Source organism: Homo sapiens, chromosome 14 (genome assembly GCF_000001405.40).
Source record: "Homo sapiens chromosome 14, GRCh38.p14 Primary Assembly".
Taxonomy (NCBI): domain Eukaryota; kingdom Metazoa; phylum Chordata; class Mammalia; order Primates; family Hominidae; genus Homo; species Homo sapiens.
The window spans coordinates 64,034,728-64,057,209 of record NC_000014.9 but is presented as its reverse complement, the minus strand read 5'-3'; the positions used below and the strand labels follow the sequence as shown (position 1 = coordinate 64,057,209).

General features: G+C 40.4%; 1 protein-coding gene across 29 annotated transcripts in view, besides 1 other annotated feature; it reads right to left on the bottom strand.

The window, feature by feature from the left end:
• SYNE2 (spectrin repeat containing nuclear envelope protein 2) overlaps nt 1-22,482 on the bottom strand; it is a 464,854-nt gene that overhangs the window by 169,240 nt on the left and 273,132 nt on the right. For all 29 annotated transcript variants that reach the window (XM_047431152.1, XM_011536576.3, XM_047431149.1 and 26 more), the window contains 4 exons: nt 9,055-9,210; nt 7,334-7,599; nt 3,553-5,653; nt 944-1,266 (listed from right to left, as the gene is read on the bottom strand). In XM_047431152.1, coding sequence (XP_047287108.1) covers nt 944-1,266; nt 3,553-5,653; nt 7,334-7,599; nt 9,055-9,210 — 2,846 coding nt within the window. The remainder of the gene's footprint in view (nt 1-943; nt 1,267-3,552; nt 5,654-7,333; nt 7,600-9,054; nt 9,211-22,482) is intronic.
• Nucleotides 19,460-20,154: an enhancer, noted in NCBI's record as "NANOG-H3K27ac hESC enhancer chr14:64503774-64504468 (GRCh37/hg19 assembly coordinates)". NCBI's record gives its function as "activates a minimal SCP1, AML or CMV promoter by ChIP-STARR-seq in naive H9 embryonic stem cells {active_cell/tissue: H9 hESC(naive)}" and the evidence as "EXISTENCE:reporter gene assay evidence [ECO:0000049][PMID:30033119]".

Sequence of the window (22,482 nt, the reverse complement as noted above, 5' to 3'; positions counted from 1 at the left end):
GTATTGATAGCACCACAGAGTGACTACGTTCAATAATAATTTAACTGTACATTTAAAAATAACTAAGAGTACAGTTGGATTGTTTGTAACACAAAAGATAAATGCTTGAAATGAATATCTCATCTACCCTGATGCAATTATTACACTGATTACCCGTATCAAAATATTCCATATATGTCATAAATATATATACCTATAAACTCACAAAAATTAAAAATTAAAAAAAAGAAATAACAGAAGAATGCACACACTAGGTATTAGTTTGAAATTGTGAAAACAGGACACACAAACACATAGTAAAAGTACAACAGGGAGTTCAAGACCAGCCTGACCAACATGGAGAAATCCTGTCTCTACTAAAAATACAAAAAATTAGCCAGGCGTGGTGGCATATGCCTGTAATCCCAGCTACTCGGGAGGCTGAGGCAGGAGAATTACTTGAACTCGGGAGGCGGAGGTTGCAGTGAGCCAAGATCGTGCCACTGCACTCCAGCCTGGGCAACAAAAGCGAAACTTTGTCTCAAAAAAAAAAAAAAGTACAACAAAAGTCAGGAAAATGGTAAACAAAATTTGGGAGAATGGTTATTTCTGAGAAGAGAGAGGAGGAGCACACAAGAGAACTCGATGTCCTTTTGGGTACAAAGATATTAGTTTTATCATTATTACTTATACCATGCATATACTTTTATAAACAATCTGTTGTGTGTACCCAATATTAAATAGGAAAAAAAAAAAAGAAGAAATACAATATTTACCAGAGTTTTCTTTACATTGTAATTTTTTTCTACTTAACCATATTTTCCAAATTATCTCTAATGCATAGGTGTTAATGACAGAGAAAAAAACCTATATTTTATGTTCTTAAAACTATTAAAATATAGTTTAATTATATCTTGAAACAATATTTTATGTTCTTAAAGATTACCTTTGGAAGAGGACCTACCTTTCTGCCTCAGTTTCCTGTGCTTTGAAAGCTTCCTTCATTGCTGAGTTCTTAGAAACTAGTTCCTGTAAAGTATACTGAAGTTGTAGTTTGGCTTCGGGGCTGGATATCATTCCCAGTTTCTCAGTGAGGTCCTGGATGTGTGCTACTGTGGATTCCAATTCCTCTTGTTTTCGAAGAGGCATCTCTAAAGATTCTTCTGGATTACCAACATCTACTCTGTAGGGTATAATGATGGCTTCGAGGGAAGTGATGCTCTCCACTGCCCTGGTGACTGCTTCTTTATAGCGTGTTAGATTTTCATAAGCATCATTCAAGACATTCTAGTGAATAGGAGATTAAATGCTGTGACAAAATTGTCAAACTTTTGGAATTCCTGTCATTCTTAAGTTTTCGTGGTACATAGATAATATGTCTCTGAGTCTTTTTTTATTATTATTATACTTTAAGTTTTAGGGTACATGTGCACAATGTGCAGGTTTGTTACATATGTATACATGTCTCTGAGTCTTATAAGAGTTAGCATTCTCATTTTACAGTTTGACAATATTACACTATTATTTTTAAGCAAATAACATTGTATTAAAAAAGTTGTTTCCAGGCCCGGCGTGGTGGCTCACAACTGTAATCCCAGCACTTTGGGAGGCCGAGGTGGGTGGATCACGAGGTCCAGAGTTCAAGACCAGCCTGGCCAGTATGGTGAAACCCCATCTCTACTAAAAATACAAAAATTAGTTGGGTGTGGTGGCGCGCGCCTGTAGTCCCAGCTACTCAGGAGGCTGAGGCAGAAGAATCGTGTGAACCCGGGAGGCGGAGGTTGCAGTGAGCCGAGATCGCGCCACTGCACTCCAGCCTGGGTGACAGAGTGAGAGTCCATCTCAAAAAAAAAAAAAAAAAAAGTTATTTTCAGATTTAATAAGAAAAATAATCTAAATTCAAAATAACATCTCAAGAATAATGTCTATTAATGTATCTTCCTGCTTTGGAACTCTTGTACTAGACTACAAATTAAATAAAACAATGGATTACATTTAATGTATATAACCTTAATCAGTATTTGTGAACAAATGAAAAGAAAACAAAATCTCTAGACCTTTTATGTTTTTAAACTAATTTCTCTGCACTAACTTTAGTTTAGGTACATCATTGAATGAATGTCTCCAGACTTGAGTCATCTCATTGAAATAACAAATAGTTGAAATAAATAAAGGTCCCTTCCAGTTCAGTTCTAATCCTATTATTTTTGGGATTTATGCACATTGTTTCCTGAAACTGTATTAAAATTCAAGTGGAGAAATACTCAAATTACTCATTTATTACAAAACTATTTAAGGAATATAGGTTCATAATACTTTACATTGCCATAGCATTTACACCTATCAAAATATTCCAGATATAGTATCTCATAATAACTCTTTGAATTAGAAAAGGGAGTTAACTTCCACTTCTAAAAATTTAATGTGATCAATCTGAAAACACTATGTATGGCATTACATTCAGCACAGCGTGAATTTCAATGATGCCTAAGATATCCACTCTACCAAAAGGAAGGGAAGGGAGTGTGTTGGCGTCACTTTCCAACAGAGGTGAGGAAATAATCACAACTTACTCAACTCTGCTGCTATAGCATGAAAACAGATACAGTCAATACAAAAACAAATGGGTATGGCTATATTCCAATAAAACTTTATTTATAAAAAACAGGCACTGCGGGAAGGATTTGGCCCATGGACCATGAGCATGTGATGCTCCCTGCTCTGGTTCTGTTACTGTTCTCAGGACTCTGAGAAAAATCTTCATGTTTCTAAACTTCAATTTCCTTATTTTTAAACGGGGCTAATAATAGCACTCATCTCACAGAGTTGCTATAAAAATTCAACATGAAATTTTTAGCACAGTGTCTCCAACACTGTAAGTTCTACATAAATGTTAGTTATTATTTGGTGTTCTTCCCTCTACACCATAATTCTTCCATTATATCTTACTACCTCTAAAAACAAAACAGAAAACAAATTTTTAAAAATGTTCTGAGCTCAACAGAGACTACGAGGAAAACAGAAATAAGAGTCAGATTTGTCCTTTTCTAAACTAGAAGGCACTGCATGTAGATGCAGTATGAGTCACGATTACAAACCAGTTCACTGTAATTTTTGAAAATGGCTATCTTTCTGTAGAGAATTTCTACGTAGAACCTATAGCTTCTTTGGAATTACAGACATTAGCAAAACAGAAAATCACAAAATAAAAATAGATGCACTAACTGCCCAATTTTATTTTATTTTACTTATTTATTTTTTTGAGACAGAGTCTCACTTGGTCACCCAGGCTGGAGAGCAGTGCCGGGATGTTGACTCATTACAACTTGCGCCACCCTGGTTCAAGTGATTCTTGTACCTCAGCCTCCTGAGTAGCTGGGATTACAACCATGTGCCACCATACCCAGCTAATTTTTTTTTTGTATTTTTAGTATACATGCAGTTTTGCCATGTTGGCCAGGCTGGTCTCTACTTGGCCTCAAGTGATCCGCCAGCCTTGGCCTCCCAAAATGCTGGGATTACAGGCGTGAGCCCCCGCACCCAGCCACTAACTGCATAATTTTTAAAACTTACTGTGCGCAAATCAATGCTTGTGTTAAGCTGCATCTGAAGATCTTCAAACTCACGTAGTTTTGTCTCCACATCACTCGCTTCAGAAGAGTTTTCTTCTCTTTGTTTCTCAATAGCAGTCACAGCTTTAATACTACACATTTCTGCCCAAACTTGCTCCTGAAATGCTTCACAATTGTCCTTTTCATTTTGAATATGTTTAATTTCCAAATTTATAAGTAATGGCTGCTGTAATTGAGATTTTATCTGATTTAAAACATGTAAGGAAGTTTCTAGTTTGTCCTGACAATTCTTTTCATCCAATTCTTTTGGTGAGAGTTCTAATACCATGTTTTGGAGAACTTTGTATAACTTATCATTTTCTTCTGCATTCAGCTTTATTTGTAGTATTTCTTTCTCCTTGAATGAGTCATCAAAGGTCTTATTTTCATTTAATTTCTTTATTATCTCATCACATAAACACTTGGCTTTCTCAATTCTCTGACTTAAAATTTGGGCATTGAGCCGTCTGCTTTCCGGAGAGCTATCAGGAGCTTTTAGTACTACTTCAGTCATTTTCTTAATTTGCAAATCAATAGCTCTCATTTTACTTAATAATGCCTGATATTTGCCATGTTCTTCCTCAAATGTGTCCAACTGCTTAATTTTTTCTTCAAGTTCCTTTTCTTTTTCAAATACTTGGGTTTGTAATTGGTCAAGTTGTGAAAAATCCCAGTTTAGTCCAATATAGTCAAACACTTTTTTAAGTTTCAATACCTGTAAGATGCAACACTTAATAGCGGTGAGTCTGTCTTTAAGATTATAGATCTCCTCTTTAACACCTTTATTTACTTCTTGATTAAGTAATAGTTCATTGCGCTGTATACTGTCAGCCTCCTCCTGAAGCGCTGATGTTTTTTCATGGAATTGTCTGCAAAACTTTATCTTGTGTTCCACTTCATTACATGTATTCTGAATGAATCTTTGTATTCTGTTGGTCCTAATCTTAAGATTTTTCAACTGATCTTCCAGAAATAATCTTTCAAACACATTCAGCTCCTCATAGATGTTTGTTAGCTCCTGAAGATGTGTTGAGATTCCACTGTCAATTTCTTGCAATTCCTTCTGAGATGCCTCCAAAGTAACATGGTGATGTTTTAGTTCAGCTTCCGTGGCAGCTGTCTCCACCCTGGGAATTATCAGTGTTTCACTTTCTTGAACCATAAGTTGAAACTTCCTTATTATAGCAAAAAAATTGCTTCTTTCTTCCAACTTAAATTCTAATTGCTGTGATCTTTGAGTTGATTTTAAAACCAGCATTTGGTATTGATTCCGTAAGTCCTCTAGGGTATTATTTAAATCACTGCCCTCATAGGTTGTAAGGCTAGGAACCTTATCTTTGACCTCTTCAGCCAACGATTCCACAGACTGCTGCCTAGCTAGAATGCCATCATGTGTCACTTTGCACTTTCTGATCTGTGAAAGAATGTCATCTGGGAGAAGGGGAATGGAGGGATTAAGTTCACCCAACAAATTCTTGGCCCATAAGATAGTCTCTTTCATCTTGTTCCTTATGTCACACTTCTTAATCTGATTTTCTGCTTCTAAGTGTAATGGCTCCAATGTTTCCCATTGTTTCTTCAAGTTATTTATTCCATCCTCCAAATTCTTCTTTTCTTTTTCTCCCCAAATCCTCTTCATCTGAAGTTCAGCTTGCCCCTTTAAAACAGAAAATCCATGCTTGGTAGCCTGGAGGTCAGTGGTCAAGGCAATCATGCTTTGGTTCCCTGCCCGTTCTTCTGGAGACTTCAGCCTTAACTGTAGATGTTGCTGCTGCTGTTGCAGAGAAATCTCAGTGTCCTGTACCTTATTCATGAGGGTTGTAAATTCATCATATTCCACTACCTGCTGAGAATACTTCTTTTGAATCTGCTGTTCCACTTGTTCCCAACCATGTTCAAGTTGCTTAATCTGGCTTTCCAACAATTTCTTATCCATGTCAGTCACGTGGTTTGATAAATTCTCCCATTTGATTTTCAAGTTGCCTAAAGAATCTTTCTCTTTTTCTATGGATGCTATGAATTTTTTAATTTTGTCCAGATACGTTACACTGTCCAGTGGTCCTCTAGAAAAAGAATAAAAATAGAGCTTGTTAATATTTAATGCTTATTCTACATTAAAATGTGGATAAATATCATTAGAAGAAATTAATTCTGCTCTAAATTCACAGAAAAAATTAGGCTGTCTGTAAAAATAATCTATCCTTAAAATAAAAATCAGAATCTTGTTTACTGTGGCTTTCAATTGGTGTAGAAAACTCTCCTATAAAATGAGTATCTTGGCTTTTACTTTGAGTGAAAAAAAAAAAGCAAAGAAAATGAGTATCCCAAAAATGAATAACCACAGGAAAAAAATGAAGTGAAGGGAAGAATGTACATAAAAATATTTTGTAAATTGTAAAGTACTTGTATAAAGGTTAGTCTAGGAATGAGAGATATTGCCATAATATCCAACCCCCTTGTCATCTTTTCAACAAAGGGAAAAATATTGACTAAAAAGCTGTAATCATCAAGCTAATCTAAAATTGTTTCCTCAAGGGCTGTTACTGAAAGTAAACCCCATTTAGATAAAAGTATAAAACAAATCTTTTTTTTTTTTTTTGAGGCAGAGTCTCACTCTGTCACCCAGGCTGGAATGCAGTGGTGTGATCTCAGCTCACTGCAACCTCTACTTCCCAGGTTCAAGCCATTCTCCTGCCTCAGCCTCCCAAGTAGCTAGAATAACAGACGTATGCCATGATGCCTGGCTAATTTTTTTTGTATTTTTAGAGAAACAGGGTTTCACCATGTTGGCCAAGCTGGTCTCGAATTCCTGACCTTAAGTGATCCACCTGCCTCAGCCTCCCAAAGTGCTGGGATTACAGGTGTGAGCAACCACGTCTGGCCTAAAATAAACTTTTTTGATAATGAGAAAATATTTACATATGAAGACTAAATTTAATACCATTTGCCATCATTTTCAAAGCCAAAAGAAGTGCATATATTTTAAAAGAACCATTCCAATACATATATATTCAATATATACCAAACTATTTAACTAATTATGCTGGTACTAAACAATTACATATGCTTGTCTCCCCTGCCCACATAGTTTAGAATTCTTGACAAAAATAATACTGAATTCCATAGAACATAAACCTATTTTGTAGATATTTATAGTGCGAATTGTTTCATAAATTACTCTGTAAAACATATTCAATTATATAAATTATTTTTTGCATGAAACCAACAGTTTCCTTAAATGCTATGGTCTGAATGTGTGTCCCTTAAAATTCATATTTTGAAACCTAATCACCAATGTAATAGCACTAAGAGTTAGGAACTTTGAGGAGTGATTAGGTCATGAGGGTGGAGCCCCTAAGGATAGGAGTAGAGCCCTTATAAAAGAGACTCCAGAGAGCTGCACTTCTCCTGCTACCACATGAGGACACAGCTAAGATGTGCCATCTGTGAACTGGAGAGCAGGTCCTCGTCAGATGCTGAATCTTCTGCTGCCTTGATCTTGGACTTCCCACCCTCCAAGGCAGTAAGAAATAATTTTGTTTTTTATCAGCCTCTTAGTCTGCAGTATTTTGTTATAGCAGCCCAAACAAAGACAGCATCCATATGAAATAACATTCCATCCTGTGGTTTTAAAATCATAATTTCCTTTCACAATATAAACTCTTAAAACCCTGGGCCTGTCCAAGGTGGCAGATGGTTGTGCTTGAATAAAAAGAATGCAAGTCCTAAATTCTTACACTTACACTTTAAGACTTTCCTTGTCTGTCAACAAGGCTTTCATTGAAGATTCAACTGCAGCAAGGTATTCCTGAAAATCTCTGAGGACACAATATTGGCTTTCTTTGTTTTTCTTCAAAGTAATAAGTGCCTGAAGCAAATTGTCCAAATGCTGTGCCGAATATCCTATATTGTGGAGAACCAAGGCCCCAGTTTCTGTTTTGTTAAGACATTCTGTTTGTTCCAGTGGCTTAATGGCTGCTTTCTTTGCTTCCAACTGGGTATATAATTTCTAAAAATAAGTCACACAGATCAGTCAATAAACACTCACTTATTTATGCATTAATTCATTCATCTTCTTTCCTCTTTGAGATAACACACTCTATCTCAGGAAGAGGGTAACTCATTTGCACACAGGGTAACTAAAGTTGTAACCTTTAAAAATTATTATTATTATTATTATTATTATTATTTTGTCACCCAGGCTGGAGTGCAGGGTGCAATCATAGCTCACTGTAACCTAAGATTCCTGGGCTCAGGTCTCCCATCTCAGCCTCCCAAGTAGCTAGGACTACAGGTGCATGTCACCACACCCAGATAATTTTTTTTATTTTTATTTTTGTAGAGCCGAGAGTCTTGCTATATTGCCCAGGCTGGTCTTGAACTCCTGGCCTCAAACAGTCTTCCTACCTCAGCCTCCCAAAGGACTGGGATGACAGCCATGAGCTACCACATCCCTAATATTTAAAAGGTTTTTCTTCCCAAGAATCATGTTAAAATCCAGTCTAAAATTCACCATTGGTCCAGCATTTAATGTCAGTCAGATCACTCTATTATCTTAAAGAGTTCTGCAATATCTAAAGGGAAATTCATCTTAATTTTATTATTTACATACATCACCCATCTTTCCTATTTTAGATGCGTGTTTATTGTTGTGGAAACTTAGCTAAAATTGCATGGGTTGTTTATAGTTTGCTTTTTTTTTTTTTTTTTAGAGACAGGATCTCGCTCCATCATCTAGGCTGGAATGCAGTGCCACAATCTCACCTCACTGCAACCTTGAACTTCTGGGTTCAAGCAATCCTCCTGTCTCAGTCTCCTGAGTAGCTGAAACTACAGGCACACATCATCTTGCCTAAATAATTTTTGTATTTTTTGGTAGAGATGGGGTCTCGCAATGCTGCCCAGGCTGGTCTCCAACTCCTGGACTCAGGCAGTCCTCCCGCCTCGGCCTCCCAAAGTGCTGGGATAACAGACATGAGCCACCATGTCTGGCTGCTGTTTCACTTTTTAAAATATGGCCATGTATTGGATTTTTAGATTACTTTACAAGCTGGAAGCACATAAATACATAAACATAACTATGTAAACACAGATGTAAAAACAAAGGGGGAAGAACCTCATAGAACTGATTGTTAGGAAAAATACATTTGTCAGAATCAGAAGAATATATACTTGTAAGAAAAGGAATGATGGCAAGTCAAAATCTCCAAATTTTCTCACTAAGTCTTTAGGAACTTTGTGAAATAGAAAGAAGACTAATGTCCCTTTAACTCTTCTACTTTCTAAATGGAAAGATTTATACAACTTACTTAGTACATAATTATACAGTTACCAAATTGATCATCAGGCAAAGGTTAAATAAGACTTTTCACTCTGTACAAGCAAGTTTTTGGCAATTAAAATATATTGTATTGCACTGGATAAATGATGCAATCATGTTGTCAGTGTTTTTATGTTTCCATACCTCTATCTCTTCTAATTGTTCATTTCTTAACATAGTATCTAATTCTAAAGGTTGATTTTGCAGCTCATTGACTTTCCGCTCATCTTCAGTGTTTTTCATGCTTTCTTGAGCATTAAGAGAAAGTTGTTTTGACATAGCCATTTCCACAGCTGAATCCTGAAATACATAAAAAGATTAATTGCTGAATAGTCTACTTTCCAAATAAATCCTTTTTATTTTTCTTGATGAAAACATTCCAGTTTCTTCTGTTTACTTGGATTATAGACTTAAAAAGTATATTTGGGCACTACGAAAGATGATTTTTCCATATAATAATGCCTATGTTGGTATTACCCCAAGATGAAACCTTCTTTGACAAAGTAGTATAGGATATAGCATTGGTCAATTGTATACTGAAGCAAAATCTATAGTCTTAAAGACAGAAAAAAGTATTTAAAAAAACCCCAAAAGTGTATGCTTTAGTGTTCACCAGGATACAGTGGGCAGGGCAAATAATAGGCATTTATTGTTACCTACTGGTAGTTTAAAGTAAGTGGCCATATGGAGGTAACACCAAGGATTTGTGATATTAATTATAGCAACAGGAGGCAGCCAAATGCCTAGACAGATAGGGGCAAGCCCCCAGTGAAACCCCACCTCCATGCCAAAGACAGTTTAAAGCCTGAAAGCCAAGCTACAAGTTAATTCCTAGGACCGGACTGAGAACTTGTCCTCCTGTTTGGCACACTTTCCTCTGATTGATCCCCACCCTTCCCCTATTTTACATATACCCACCCTTTCCTAATTGGTTTTCTACACTGTTATGCTCTCCTTTGAGTGGTGTCTTCGCTTTAACCTTTTTTGCGTAATTCCAAACCAGTCAGCACACACTCCCTATCCTGTGCCTATAAAGACACCAGACTCAGTCGGTAGAGGAGGAGACGGCCTGACTTCAGGGAAGACCACCTGCCCTTCCCATCCCCCCTCCAGCTTCCCTCTCCACTGAGAGCCATTTTCATCACTCAGTAAAATTCTTTGCCTTCACCATCTTTCAATCATCCATATGACTTCATTCTTCTTGGATGCTGGACAAGAGCTTGGGACCCACCAAGTGTGGGTACCCAGAAAGGCTGTTACACCAGCCCTTTGCCTTTGCTGGTGGAGGGCAACTGCTCCACATGACGAGGCAAGGGGCCAACTGAGCTACTAACATACCACCATCTGCAGACAGCAGAACTAAAGGAGCGCTGTAATACCCCTTTCTAGGGCTTCAGGATCACAAGCACCCTCACCCAGGTGCCACTGCATTCCCCTCAAGGTGACATGCCTAGTCTGGCTGTGGGCCCCACACAGCGCTTGCTCCTGTCTCGGCACCCAGAGCAGCTTGCCAGATTCTATGCTCACTTGCTCATGTGCTCCCTCCAGCAAGGGGTTGAGCACAGTGGACCAAGTAGACGAGGTGCCTCTTTTATGAGTCTGGTGAAGGGGCTGAGAAAAATCCTGTATCATTAAGGATAAATTGGCCAGGCACAGTGGCTCATGCCTGTAATTCCAGCACTTTGGGAGGCCGAGGTAGGTGGATTGCTTGATCCCAGAAGTTCAAGGAGTTCACCATGGGTAACACGGTGAAACCCCATCTGTACAAAAAATACAAAAATTAGCTCAACATGGTGGCATGCATCTGTAGTCCCAGCTACTCAGGAGGCTGAGGTGGGAGGATCACTTGTGTCCAGGAGGCTGAGGCTACAGTGAGCCATGATTGTGCCACTGCACTCCAGGCTGGGTGACAGACCCTGCTCAAAATCATTTTGATTTCAAAAACAAAGAAAGGATAAATTATGTCTTAAGCCAATCAGTAGTAAGAATTCAAACCTAGGTAAGGCAGAACAAGTTATATACGAGGTAATTTGACCTTTTCTGAAAGCTTTAAGAACTTGAGGTTCTCTATAGGACACAGAGAGACAATGCATCTGCATTCACTTGCTCTTTCTTTCAATAAATATTTGTGGAGCCCTGAGATGTATGAAGCACCACGGCAGTAATTTTAAAAGATGTCCATTATTTTGCTAAGGCACTCGTTTTTATTTTCAGGTTACTTTATATATGAAAAATCATTTAATTGTGCTATATACCTTCATGTCCATAGAATCTTTGAGGTATCAAATTTGTGAATAAAACATGTCCACATCCCCAACAAGGTAGAAATTGATGTCTTAAAAATACTGTCTAGATAGTAATGTAAGATGTTAACAATAGGGGAAACTGGGTGCAGGGGTGTGAAGGAACTTTTTGTATTATCTCTGCAACTTCTCTGTAACTGTAAAACTATTCTAAAATTAAAAGTTCATTTAAATAAAACAAATACTGTCTGGAGCTTCACCAGTTTTAACTGGAAAGAGAATTCAACTGTCCAGGGTTACTGGTTTTGAAGTACTTAATTGGCATTTAGCACAAGTCACTTCTTCTAAAAGGCTGCAAATTACTGAAATAATTTTGTAAACTTCCTCAGGTTCCAACAATGTATTCAGGCACACTGTGGCGAAAATCTACACCTAGGGCAGCAGCATCTCACAGGGGAAAGATCCAGGAAGGCTGTAAGAAGAAAGAGAGGTGCCACACTTCAGGTTTCACTGGCCAGTAGGTGCTTTCTGCCTATGAGCCAGTCCTATGAGCTAGATAGCTGTCTCCTTTCTATCTGATGGTTACTATTTCCTAGAGGACCCCCACCCCCCGAAATACACCCCCAGCCCAAGAGAACCTGCACTGAAGGCCTAGACACTGGACCTGAGGAACACTTTATCTGTTATTCATCATCTACTAAGATTGCAGAACCCTTAGTCTCTCTTATCTGATGATCCAGTACCTGAGGACTACTGTTACACAACAGTAAAGCATTATTTCTAACAACTGCCTTTAGTAGTCAGAAAAAGGATTCTTGAAAACCTGAAATTACCCCCAAAAGTTTAATTGTTTACCAACTCCCAAAGCCACGTTTCTAGCTTGGCAGAAAAGCCAACAGAATCCCTTGAACTAACATTTCAAATGTAAAAGGTCCTTTGCTTGTGGCAGGGAGGTTAGAACACAGACTCCAGGTCCTGATAAGCTCCTGGAATGGAAGATTCTTTCATCAGCAGGCGTCCTTGGCTCACCACCCTTTCCTCCATTTTATTTTTACTCTGCACATTCATTTTAAACATTTTATTTTAAAATATAAAATATTTCATATGAACTTGAATAAAATATAACTGTATCAGGCCGTTTGCATGTTGCTGGTAAAGACATACCTGAGACTGGGCAATTTAAAAAAGAAAGAGGTTTCATTGGACTTACAGTTCCATGTGGGTGGGGAAGCCTCACAATCATGGCGGAAGGCAAGGAGTAAGTCATATCTTACATGAATGGCGGCAGGCAGAAAGAAAGAGGTTGTGTGGGCAAACTCCCGTTTCTTAAAACAATCAGATCTCATGAGACTCATTCACTATCATGAGAACAGCACAGGAAAGATCCACCCCCATAATTCAATCACCTCCCACCAGGTTCCTCCCATGACACATGGGAATTGTGGGAGTTACAATTCAAGATGAGATTTGGGTGGGGACACAGCCAAACCATACCATTTTGCATCTGGCCCCTCCAAATCTCATGTCCTCACATTTCAAAACCAATCATGCCTTCCCAACAGTCCCCCAAAATATTAACCCATTTCAATATTAACCCAAAAGTCCACAGTCAAAAGTGTAATCTGAGACAAAGCAAGTCCCTTTGCCTATGAGCCTGTAAAATCAAAAGCAAGCTAGTTACTTCTTAGATACAATGGGGGTACAGGTATTGGATAAATTCAGCTGTTCCAAATGGGATAAATTGGCCAAAACAAAGGGGTTACAGGGCCCATGCAAGTCTGAAATTAAGTGTGGCAGTCAAATTTTAAAGCTCCAAAATGATCTCGTTTGACTCTAGGTCTCATATCTAGGTCATGCTGATGCAAGGGGTAGGTTCCCACGGTCTTGGGCAGCTCTGCACCTGTGGCTTTGCAGGGTACAGCCTCCCTCCCAGCTGCTTTCATAGGCTGGCATTGAATGTTTGCAGCTTTTCCAGGCAAATAGTGCAAGCTGTCAGTGGATCTACCATTCTGGGGTCTGGAGGACAGTGGCATTTGCTCGGTGTGGTGGCATGTGTCTGTAGTCCCAGCTACTCAGGAGGCTGAGGTGGGAGGATCACTTGAACCTAGGAAGCTGAGGCTACAGTGAGCTGTGACTGTGCCACTGCACTCCAGGCTAGGTGACAGTGAGACCACTCCACTAGGTGGTGCCCCAGTAGGCACTCTGTGTGGGGGCTCTGATCCCACATTTCCCTTCTGCACTGCCTTAGCAGAGGTTCTCTGTGAGGGCCCCGCCCCCGTAGCAAACTTCTGTCTTGGCATCCAGGTGTTTCCACACATATTCAGAAATCTAGGCAGAGGTTCACAAACCTCATTTCTTGACTTCTGTGTACCCACAGGCTCAACACCACATGGAAGCTGCCAAGGCTTGGGGCTTGCACACTCTGAAGCCACAGCCCGAGCTGTTCCTTGGCTCCTTTTAGTCAAGGCTGGAGCGGCTGAGACACAGGGCACTCGGTCGCTAGACTGTACACAGCAAAAGGACTCTGGGCCCAGCCCACAAAACCATTTTTTTTTTTTACATAGGCCTCTGGGCCTGTGATGGGAGGGGCTGCTGTGAAGACCTCTGACATGCCCTAGAGACATTTCCCCCATTGTCTTGGGGATTAACATTCGGCTTGTTACTTGTGCACATTTCTTCAGCCTGCTTGAATTTCTCCTCAGAAAATGGGTTTTTCTTTTCTATCGTATTGTCAGACTGAAACATTTCCTAACTTTTATGCTCTGCTTCCTTTATAAAACTGAATGCCTTTAACAGCACCCAAGTCACCTCTTGAATGCTTTGTTGCTTAGAAATTTCCTCTTGAATGCTTTGTTGCTTAGACATTTCTTCCACCAGATACCCTAAATCATCTCTCTCAAGTTCGGTTCCGCAAATCTCTAGGGCAGGGGCAAAATGCCACCAATCCCTTTGCTGAAACATAACAAGAGTCACCTTTGCTCCAGTTCCCAACAAGTTCCTCATCTCCATCTGAAACTACCTCAGCCTGGACCTTATTATACATTTCACTATGAGGTTTTTGGTCAAAGCCATTCAACAAGTCTCTAGGAAGTTCCAAACTTTCCCACATTTTCCTGTCTTCTTCTGAGCCCTCCAAACTGTTCCAACCTCTACCTGTTACCCAGTTCCTAAGTCACTTCCACATTTTCAGGTATCTTTTCAGCAATGCCCCACTTTACTGGTACCTATTTACGGTATTAGTTTGTTCTCATGGTGCTGATAAAGACATACCCAAGACAGGGCAATTTAAAAAAGAAAGAGGTTTAATGGATTTACAGTTCCACGTGGCTGGGGAAGCCTCACAATCATGGTGTAAGGCAAGGAGGAATAAATCACATCTTAGGTGGATGGCAGCAGGCAAAAAGAGAGAGGCTGTGCAGGCAAACTCCCATTTTTTAAAACCATCAGATCTCATGAGACTCATTCACTATCATGAGAACAGGGCAGGAAAGACCTGCCCCCATAATTCAATCACCTCCCACTGGGTTCCTCCCATGACATGTCGGAATTGTGGGAGTTACAATTCAGGATGAGATTTGGGTGGGGACACAGCCAAACCATATCAATAACAGACACACATTACTGACCACACAGATTTAAAGTGATATAATTTTCTGTATTAAGAAAATAATTTAAAGCCCAACCTCTATCCCTTTTCATCTCTTCCTCTCCAGAACCACTGTTCTAAAGTCTATACACACACTTTTATACTTTCACTACATATGTTAGTATTCATATAACATTGCTTTATGGGTTTTTAATTCTTACTGAAATAGAATCATGGATGTATCATGTCATAACTTGTTTTTTTCCACTCAGCAGTAGGTTTGGAGGTTTATCCATGTTAACAGATTATACATCTAGTTCATTATACTGAATGAATGAAAATGAATTTTTCATCTGTTAGACTACTGTGGAAAACAATATTGTTTCCAACTTTTCATATAATAGATAGTGCTGTGATATATACCCTTGTATGATTCTTCTTGTGCATGTGTGGAGTTCCTTAAGATATCTATGTAGAGTAAAAATTACTGGTAGTAGTGTGCTTCCTTTGATTCTCAATAGATAGTTATTGATTTATCCTCCACATTGAATTACTGTTTATATTCCTACCAGCATAGTGATATTTTCACTATTTTCTTTTCTTTTTTCTTTTTTTTTTTTTAAGAAAGGGTCTTGCTCTGTCACCCAGGCTGGAGTGCAGTGGTGTGAACATGGTTCACTGCAGCCTCAATCTCCTGGGTTCAACTGATTCTCCTGTTTCAGCCTCCCAAGTTGGTGGGACCACAGGCACACACCACCACACCCAACTAATTTAAAAAATTTTTTTCTAGAGATCGGGTCTTCTATGCTGCTCAGGCTGGTCTGGAACTCCTGGGCTCAAGCAATCCTCCTGCCTCAGCCTCCCAAAGTGCTGAGATTACAGGCATGAGCCAGAGCACCTGGCCTGAGCTACTCTTCATATGTTCATTGGACATACGAGTCCTGCCTTCTGCGAACTGCTTTTGCATATCCACTGTCCATTTTTTATTGTGTTGTTAGTGATTTGGGGCTATTTTTTTGTATTCTGGATATTAATCTTCTAATAGTTACATGCATTGTCATTATCTTTCAGTAGATTGTCTTTAAATTTTGTGTATGATGTCTTTTGTTGAACAAAAGCATACTGTTTTAATCTAGTCAAAATTTGTCTCTCTTTTCCTGTTTAGGCTTGTGGTTTTAGGGCCTGTTTAACAAAGTCTTCTATGCCCCAAGATCACAAAAATGTTCCCTTATATTCTCTTGTAAAGATTTAAATATTTTCTCTTCACATTTAAGCTTTTCTTTAATATATTTTTGTTTGAAGTTTGAGATAGATAAACTTTCAGTCTTTGTCTCAAAATGTATTTTGCCTCATTCTAGAATGATAATTCAGCTAGGTTGACAGCTATTTTCTCTTAGGTTGACAGTTCCTTGAAGAACTTATTTGCACTGCCTTCTGACTTTCCATGTTGAGAAATTTATTATTGACATACTTGTTTTATTAGAGGTAATCTTTTTTCTCTAGTTGCCTTTAAGATTCTTCTTTTTGGCTCTGGTGTTTTACTATTTTAAGTACAATGCATTTAGATAAGAATTTATTTTTATTTAGTCTGTTCAAGGCTCTCTGTTCTTCTTGAAACAAGATTCATATTTTTCCTCAATTTTGGAAAATTCTAAGTTTTGCCTTTCCTCCAATCTCTCTATTCTCTCCTCCTAAAGCTCTTATCAGAAATGTGTTCAATCATTGCAGTATAGCCTCTGGCTCTCTTAAAACTCCCTCCTATTTTCTGCCATATATATATATATGGCAGAAATATATACACATATATATATTTCTGAAAATATTTCAGAAAATATATACATATATATGTATATACATATATATATATATATATTTTTAACCTCACTTCTACAGTAGGGGATATGTCTCTTTATAGATGTTGGATTTTGTGATAATTTTCTCAGTCATATATTCTAACTAAGTCTCTTCAGACTATGTCAAATTTGCTGCTTAATTTGGCCAAAGCAATCTACATTTAATGACTTTTTTTGTTGTTTGTTGAAGTCCCTTATGATTATTTTTCAAATCCGTCCTTTTGTTCTCAAAGTACTGTATTCTTTCCTTATGATTTCAATTTCTTCTTTTTTTAATTACTAATCATTTTAAACACGTTATGGTAAAATATCTTTCAGATTGCTGCATTATCTCACTTTCTTAGGGTATTCTCTCATTTGATGTGATGAGTACTCCTCCTTGTGGTAGAGTGTTCCTTTGTGCTATTTATTTATTCATTCATTCTTACTAATTATTTGTTATCAGACTTTACTTTTTTTAACCTACTTGTGGGAATCTCTTTGGCCTGACTGGTAGGTAAGTAAGTAGATAGACAGACAGATTAGAGACTGATTGTCATGTTAATTTCTTGGCTAGACCTGCTCCACAATGCAATTAGTATAAATTTAGACTCAAAACCTGCTTAAGACATAGGGTTGATTTAGGTTTCTCATGCAAGACCTCTTATTTCCATGTGTAACTGGAAAAAGAAGCTTCATAGTCCTTCTCTGGCTTGAGATTTTCCTGGTCTACTTTTCCCCAAAGGTACAAGCTTTTCAAGGGCCCGTGTCTATTCTGGAGTATCTATCAATGAACAGCCTCTCTTTGAGCCCTTATAAATTCTAAGCCCCTGGATATCTCATTCTTTCCCTTCTCCCATGCTCCTAAAATTTCCCTACTTAAAACAGAAATTATACTTAGCATAAACTCAAGACAAAGTATAATTTTAAAGAGTGTACTAAAGCCTACATATTGAGCTTCTGAGCATAAATAAAATGTTCAAAGTTAATAATAAATTTAAAGTGGAAAATGACCATTCTATCAAAGCATGGTTGGGCTACATGGCCAACAACGTCTACTCTTTTTTTAAAATGTTGCTTTTTCTCAAACATGTATCTTTCCTTTCATTTGGGTCTGTTTGGAAAAGAATAGGAGGTGAGAAGAATATCATGAACTCCTCCTAAGGGCAGGACCACGACATTTTGATCTTTACATCCCCTGACTCACAAAGTGAACATTCCACTTCAGCATTGAAAACACTGAGCTCTAAATGACTGAGCATGGTCTCCAGCTTGGCCAACATGTTAGCACAGTCACAAGAGGCAAGTCAGTAACCTTCACTATCCCTTTTCCCATTCAGGGGCTATGGCCCATGGCTATGGTAACTTTGTGACAGGCAGAAACCTAAATCCAATACTTGTAACCTGGCAACAATGGGGCAGAGTGTCATACCAGCTCTAAAGGATGTATTTCTTTTTTCTCTAAAGCTTTACAATATAAAGCAGTGAAAAACAACTCTTGCATAAGCATACATCATCACCATTAGAGACAAAACCAAAAGCCAGATCAACACAGTCTCAGAGGCTGCCAATTTCTTAGTATAACATCTAAAATGTTAATGTGACTCGTAAGGCACAGCCAGCCACACCTACCTCTCAGGCCTCATCTCTGTCACTCTCCTCTGCCATCTGCCTCCTATGTTGCAGCCACCGTGCCCCAGTCAGCTTCTGAAATTCCTCACGCTCTCTCCCATCAAAAGAGGAGACAGTGCTCTCCCTCTCCCTCTCCCTCTCCCTCTCCCCACGGTCTCCCTCTCCCTCTCTTTCCACGGTCTCCCTCTGATGCCGAGCCGAAGCTGGACTGTACTGCTGCCATCTGGGCTCACTGCAACCTCCCTGCCTGATTCTCCTGCCTCAGCCTGCTGAATGCCTGCGATTGCAGGCGCCCGCCGCCACGCCTGACTGGTTTTCGTATTTTTTTGATGGAGACCGGGTTTCGCTGTGTTGGCCGGGCTGGTCTCCAGCTCCTAACCGCCGAGTGATCCACCAGCCTCGGCCTCCCGAGGTGCCGGGATTGCAGACGGAGTCTAGTTCACTCGGTGCTCAATGGTGCCCAGGCTGGAGTGCAGTGGCGTGATCTCGGCTCGCTACAACCTCCACCTCCCAGCCGCCTGCCTTGGCCTCCCAAAGTGCCAAGATTGCAGCCTCTGCCAAGCCGCCACCCCGTCTGGGAAGTGAGGAGTGTCTCTGCCGGGCCGCCCATCGTCTGGGAGGTGAGGAGCCCCTCTGCCTGGCTGCCCAGTCTGGAAAGTGAGGAGCGTCTCTGCCCGGCCGCCATCTCATCTAGGAAGTGAGGAGCGCCTCTTCCCGGCCCCCATCCCATCTAGGAAGTGAGGAGCGCCTCTTCCCGGCCGCCATCCTGTCTAGGAAGTGAGGAGCGTCTCTGCCCGGCCGCCCATCGTCTGAGATGTGGGGAGCGTCTCTGCCCCGCCGCCCCGTCTGGGATGTGAGGAGCGCCTCTGCCCGGCCGGGACCCCGTCTGGGAGATGAGGAGCATCTCTGCCCGGCCGCCCCGTCTGAGAAGTGAGGAGACCCTCCGCCTGGCAACTGCCCCGTCTGAGAAGTGAGGAGCCCCTCCGCCTGGCAGCCACCCCGTCTGGGAAGTGAGGAGCGTCTCCGCCCGGCAGCCGCCCCGTCCGGGAGGGAGGTGGGGGGGTCAGCCCCCCGCCCGGCCAGCCGCCCGGTCCGGGAGGGAGGTTGGGGGTCAGCCCCCCGCCCGGCCAGCCGCCCCGTCCGGGAGGGAGGTGGGGGTGTCAGCCCCCCGCCCAGCCAGCCGCCCCGTCCGGGAGGTGAGGGGCGCCTCTGCCCGGCCGCCCCTACTGGGAAGTGAGAGGCCCCTCTGCCCGGCCAGCCGCCCCGTCCGGGAGGGAGGTGCGGGGCGCCTCTGCCCGGCCGCCCCTACTGGGAAGTGAGGGGCCCCTCTGCCCGGCCACCACCCTGTCTGGGAGGTGTACCCAACAGCTCATTGAGAACGGGCCATGATGACAATGGCGGTTTTGTGGAATAGAAAGGGGGGAAAGGTGGGGAAAAGATTGAGAAATCGGATGGTTGCCGTGTCTGTGTAGAAAGAAGTAGACATGGGAGACTTTTCAGTTTGTTCTGTACTAAGAAAAATTCTTTTGCCTTGGGATCCTGTAGATCTGTGACCTTACCCCCAACCCTGTGCTCTCTGAAACATGTGCTGTGTCCACTCAGGGTTAAATGGATTAAGGGCGGTGCAAGATGTGCTTTGTTAAACAGATACTTGAAGGCAGCATGCTCGTTAAGAGTCATCACCACTCCCTAATCTCAAGTACCCAGGGACACAAACACTGCGGAAGGCCGCAGGGTCCTCCGCCTAGGAAAACCAGAGACCTTTGTTCACTTGTTTATCTGCTGACCTTCCCTCCACTATTGTCCTATGACCCCGCCAAATCCCCCTCTGCGAGAAACACCCAAGAATGATCAATTAAAAAAAAAAAAAAAAGAGGAGACAGTATTTCTGTCAAAAATGCTCCCCACACCCAGCCCTGAGCTCTGTTAACTCCAACTGACACTTCCAGTCTCTGTTCCAATGCTGCTTCCTGGGAGCTCTCTCTGACACTACAGTGTAGGTCAGATTCCTTGGTTAAAGACTATCATGGAACTAGGTTCCTTCCTTTGGTTCCTGTAATTAGATTCTCATTGCTATAATTAGTTGATTAATGTGTATCCACCCAGCTAGACTAGAAGCTCTTTGAGAACAGAGACCATGTTTATGTGGGGATCCTCACTGCCTAGTCAATGAATTTAAACTGAGTAGATGTACAGATGAATTCAAACCAGAGAATGTAAACCAGAATAAGAATTTTATTTAGTCTTCCATTTCCAATATTAATAGTATATTTGTCTTTGGCCTGTAAGTGATTGGGGAAAAATTAAAAAAAAATTTTTTTTAATGTGTGGGTTATAGAGTAAAATGGAAAGAAACTGAGGGCCTGTCAATGTAGCAGTTGTTGACCAAACATCTGTCAAGAACAATAGAAACAGGGTGGCCAGGGGTGGTGGCTCATGCCTGTAATCCCAGCATTTTAGGAGGCCAAGGTGGGAGGGAGTATTGCCTTAGCCCAGGAGTTTGAGACCTGCCCGGGCAACATGGTGAAACCCCGTCTCTACCAAAAATACAAAAATTAGCCGGTGTGGTGGTGCACACCTGTGATCCCAGCGACTCAGGAGGCAGAGGTGGGAGGATCGCTTGAGTCCAGAGGCAGAGGTTGCAGTGAGCCAAGATCGCGCCACTGCACTCCAGCCTGGGTGACAGAGTGAGACCCTTTCTCCAAACAAACAAACAAAAAGAACGATAGAACAGGTTTGGTTTGACTGAAAGAGTGGAGAAAGTTCAAAACATTCTTAGAATAGGGGAGGTGATTTTTTTTTTTTTTAAGTAAAAAAGAAAAAGAGGAAAAAGAAACTTTGAAACAAATGCCAGGATTATATGACAAGGTATCCATGAGAACTCAATAAAGAGTCCATTGAGGTCAGTCAGCACGTTAGCCTCTTAAAGGATTTAAAAGGTCACACAGTAAAGAAAACCTATTTGAATGTGTTTAATCCTACATTCCTCAAACTTTTTTGGATCTGAATTTTCCACCCATATACCACATTTTGTAAAATGAAAAAGTTCTGAGCATCAGACTGAGTACAGATAAGATAACTTCAAGACTACCCTGGGCAACTTAGTGAGACTGGGTCTCTACAAAAAAAAAAAAAAAATACAAAAATTAGCTGGGCATTGTGATACATGCCTGGAGTCCTACTACTCAGGAGGCTAAGGCAGGAGGATGGCTTAGGGTTAGGAACTCAAGGCTGCAGTGAGCTATGACTGCACTATGACTACACTCCAGCCTGAGTGACAGAGCCAGACCCTGTCTCTAAAATTCATAAAAAATAAATAAAGGATGCCTAAGTTCTAGTCCCAGCTCTGCTGGACTTCAATTCCCTCACCTGAAATAAAAGGGTTACGTTAGACAATTTCTAAGGTCTTTTTCAGCCTGAGATTTTACAACTTTGGAGCATGTTCTCAAATGCACGTTGTTTATAGATGGCAAAAAAAAAAAAAAAAAAAATGTACCATGTAAGTTGGTTATCCCATTAAGGCATAAATTTTGGATTGTGAAAATACCTCTACAGTAAGATGCAAGATTTGCATACTGGCCAGAAAGGGCAAGTAGGACACTGTAGTTGACACATGGCCCAACTATGTGCTCTGTTATAACTTTTTTTTTTCTACTGAGTTAACAGGATAAACAACACCAGAAATAGACATAATTTACCCCAGGATTGAAAACTCTCCAGTAAGTAGTTTCCTTCTCATTCAAATTCTGACTCCAGGCTTTGTTCCGGGTCACTCACCCACAGCTAGAGCTTTGCACATTTTGCCTGTACCTTCCAAGATTTATCTACAAATGCCTTCTTAAACATCAAATTAGAAATGCTCAGAAACTTCTGAAAAGAACAAAATCAATTCAGAAATGCTAACAATTACGTCAATGATAAGGAAATCAAAGAAGTAATTACAGACCAAAGGTTTTCAGTTTTTAAAAAGCAATTATGTCATGTAGGCTGCTATTTCGGAAGGATGGGGCAAGAAAGATCATTCCATACTAGATAAGCTGTAATGTTGTATTATGATTTTTTAGAAAAAAAATAATAAATTAGAAAATGTATGAGTTTCCCTGTTTTTCCTCTTTATCGTTTCTCTTTATGGGCACATAAAATCCTAAGAGATTAGACAGTCTTCACTTTTTACCATATCCTAATCTGCTGCTTCACTTAACCTATATAGAAAGGAGGAGATGGAAGGTACTTCTGCCTACCCATATGTAAAAATTCAGAAATACGCATCTATAAAAAT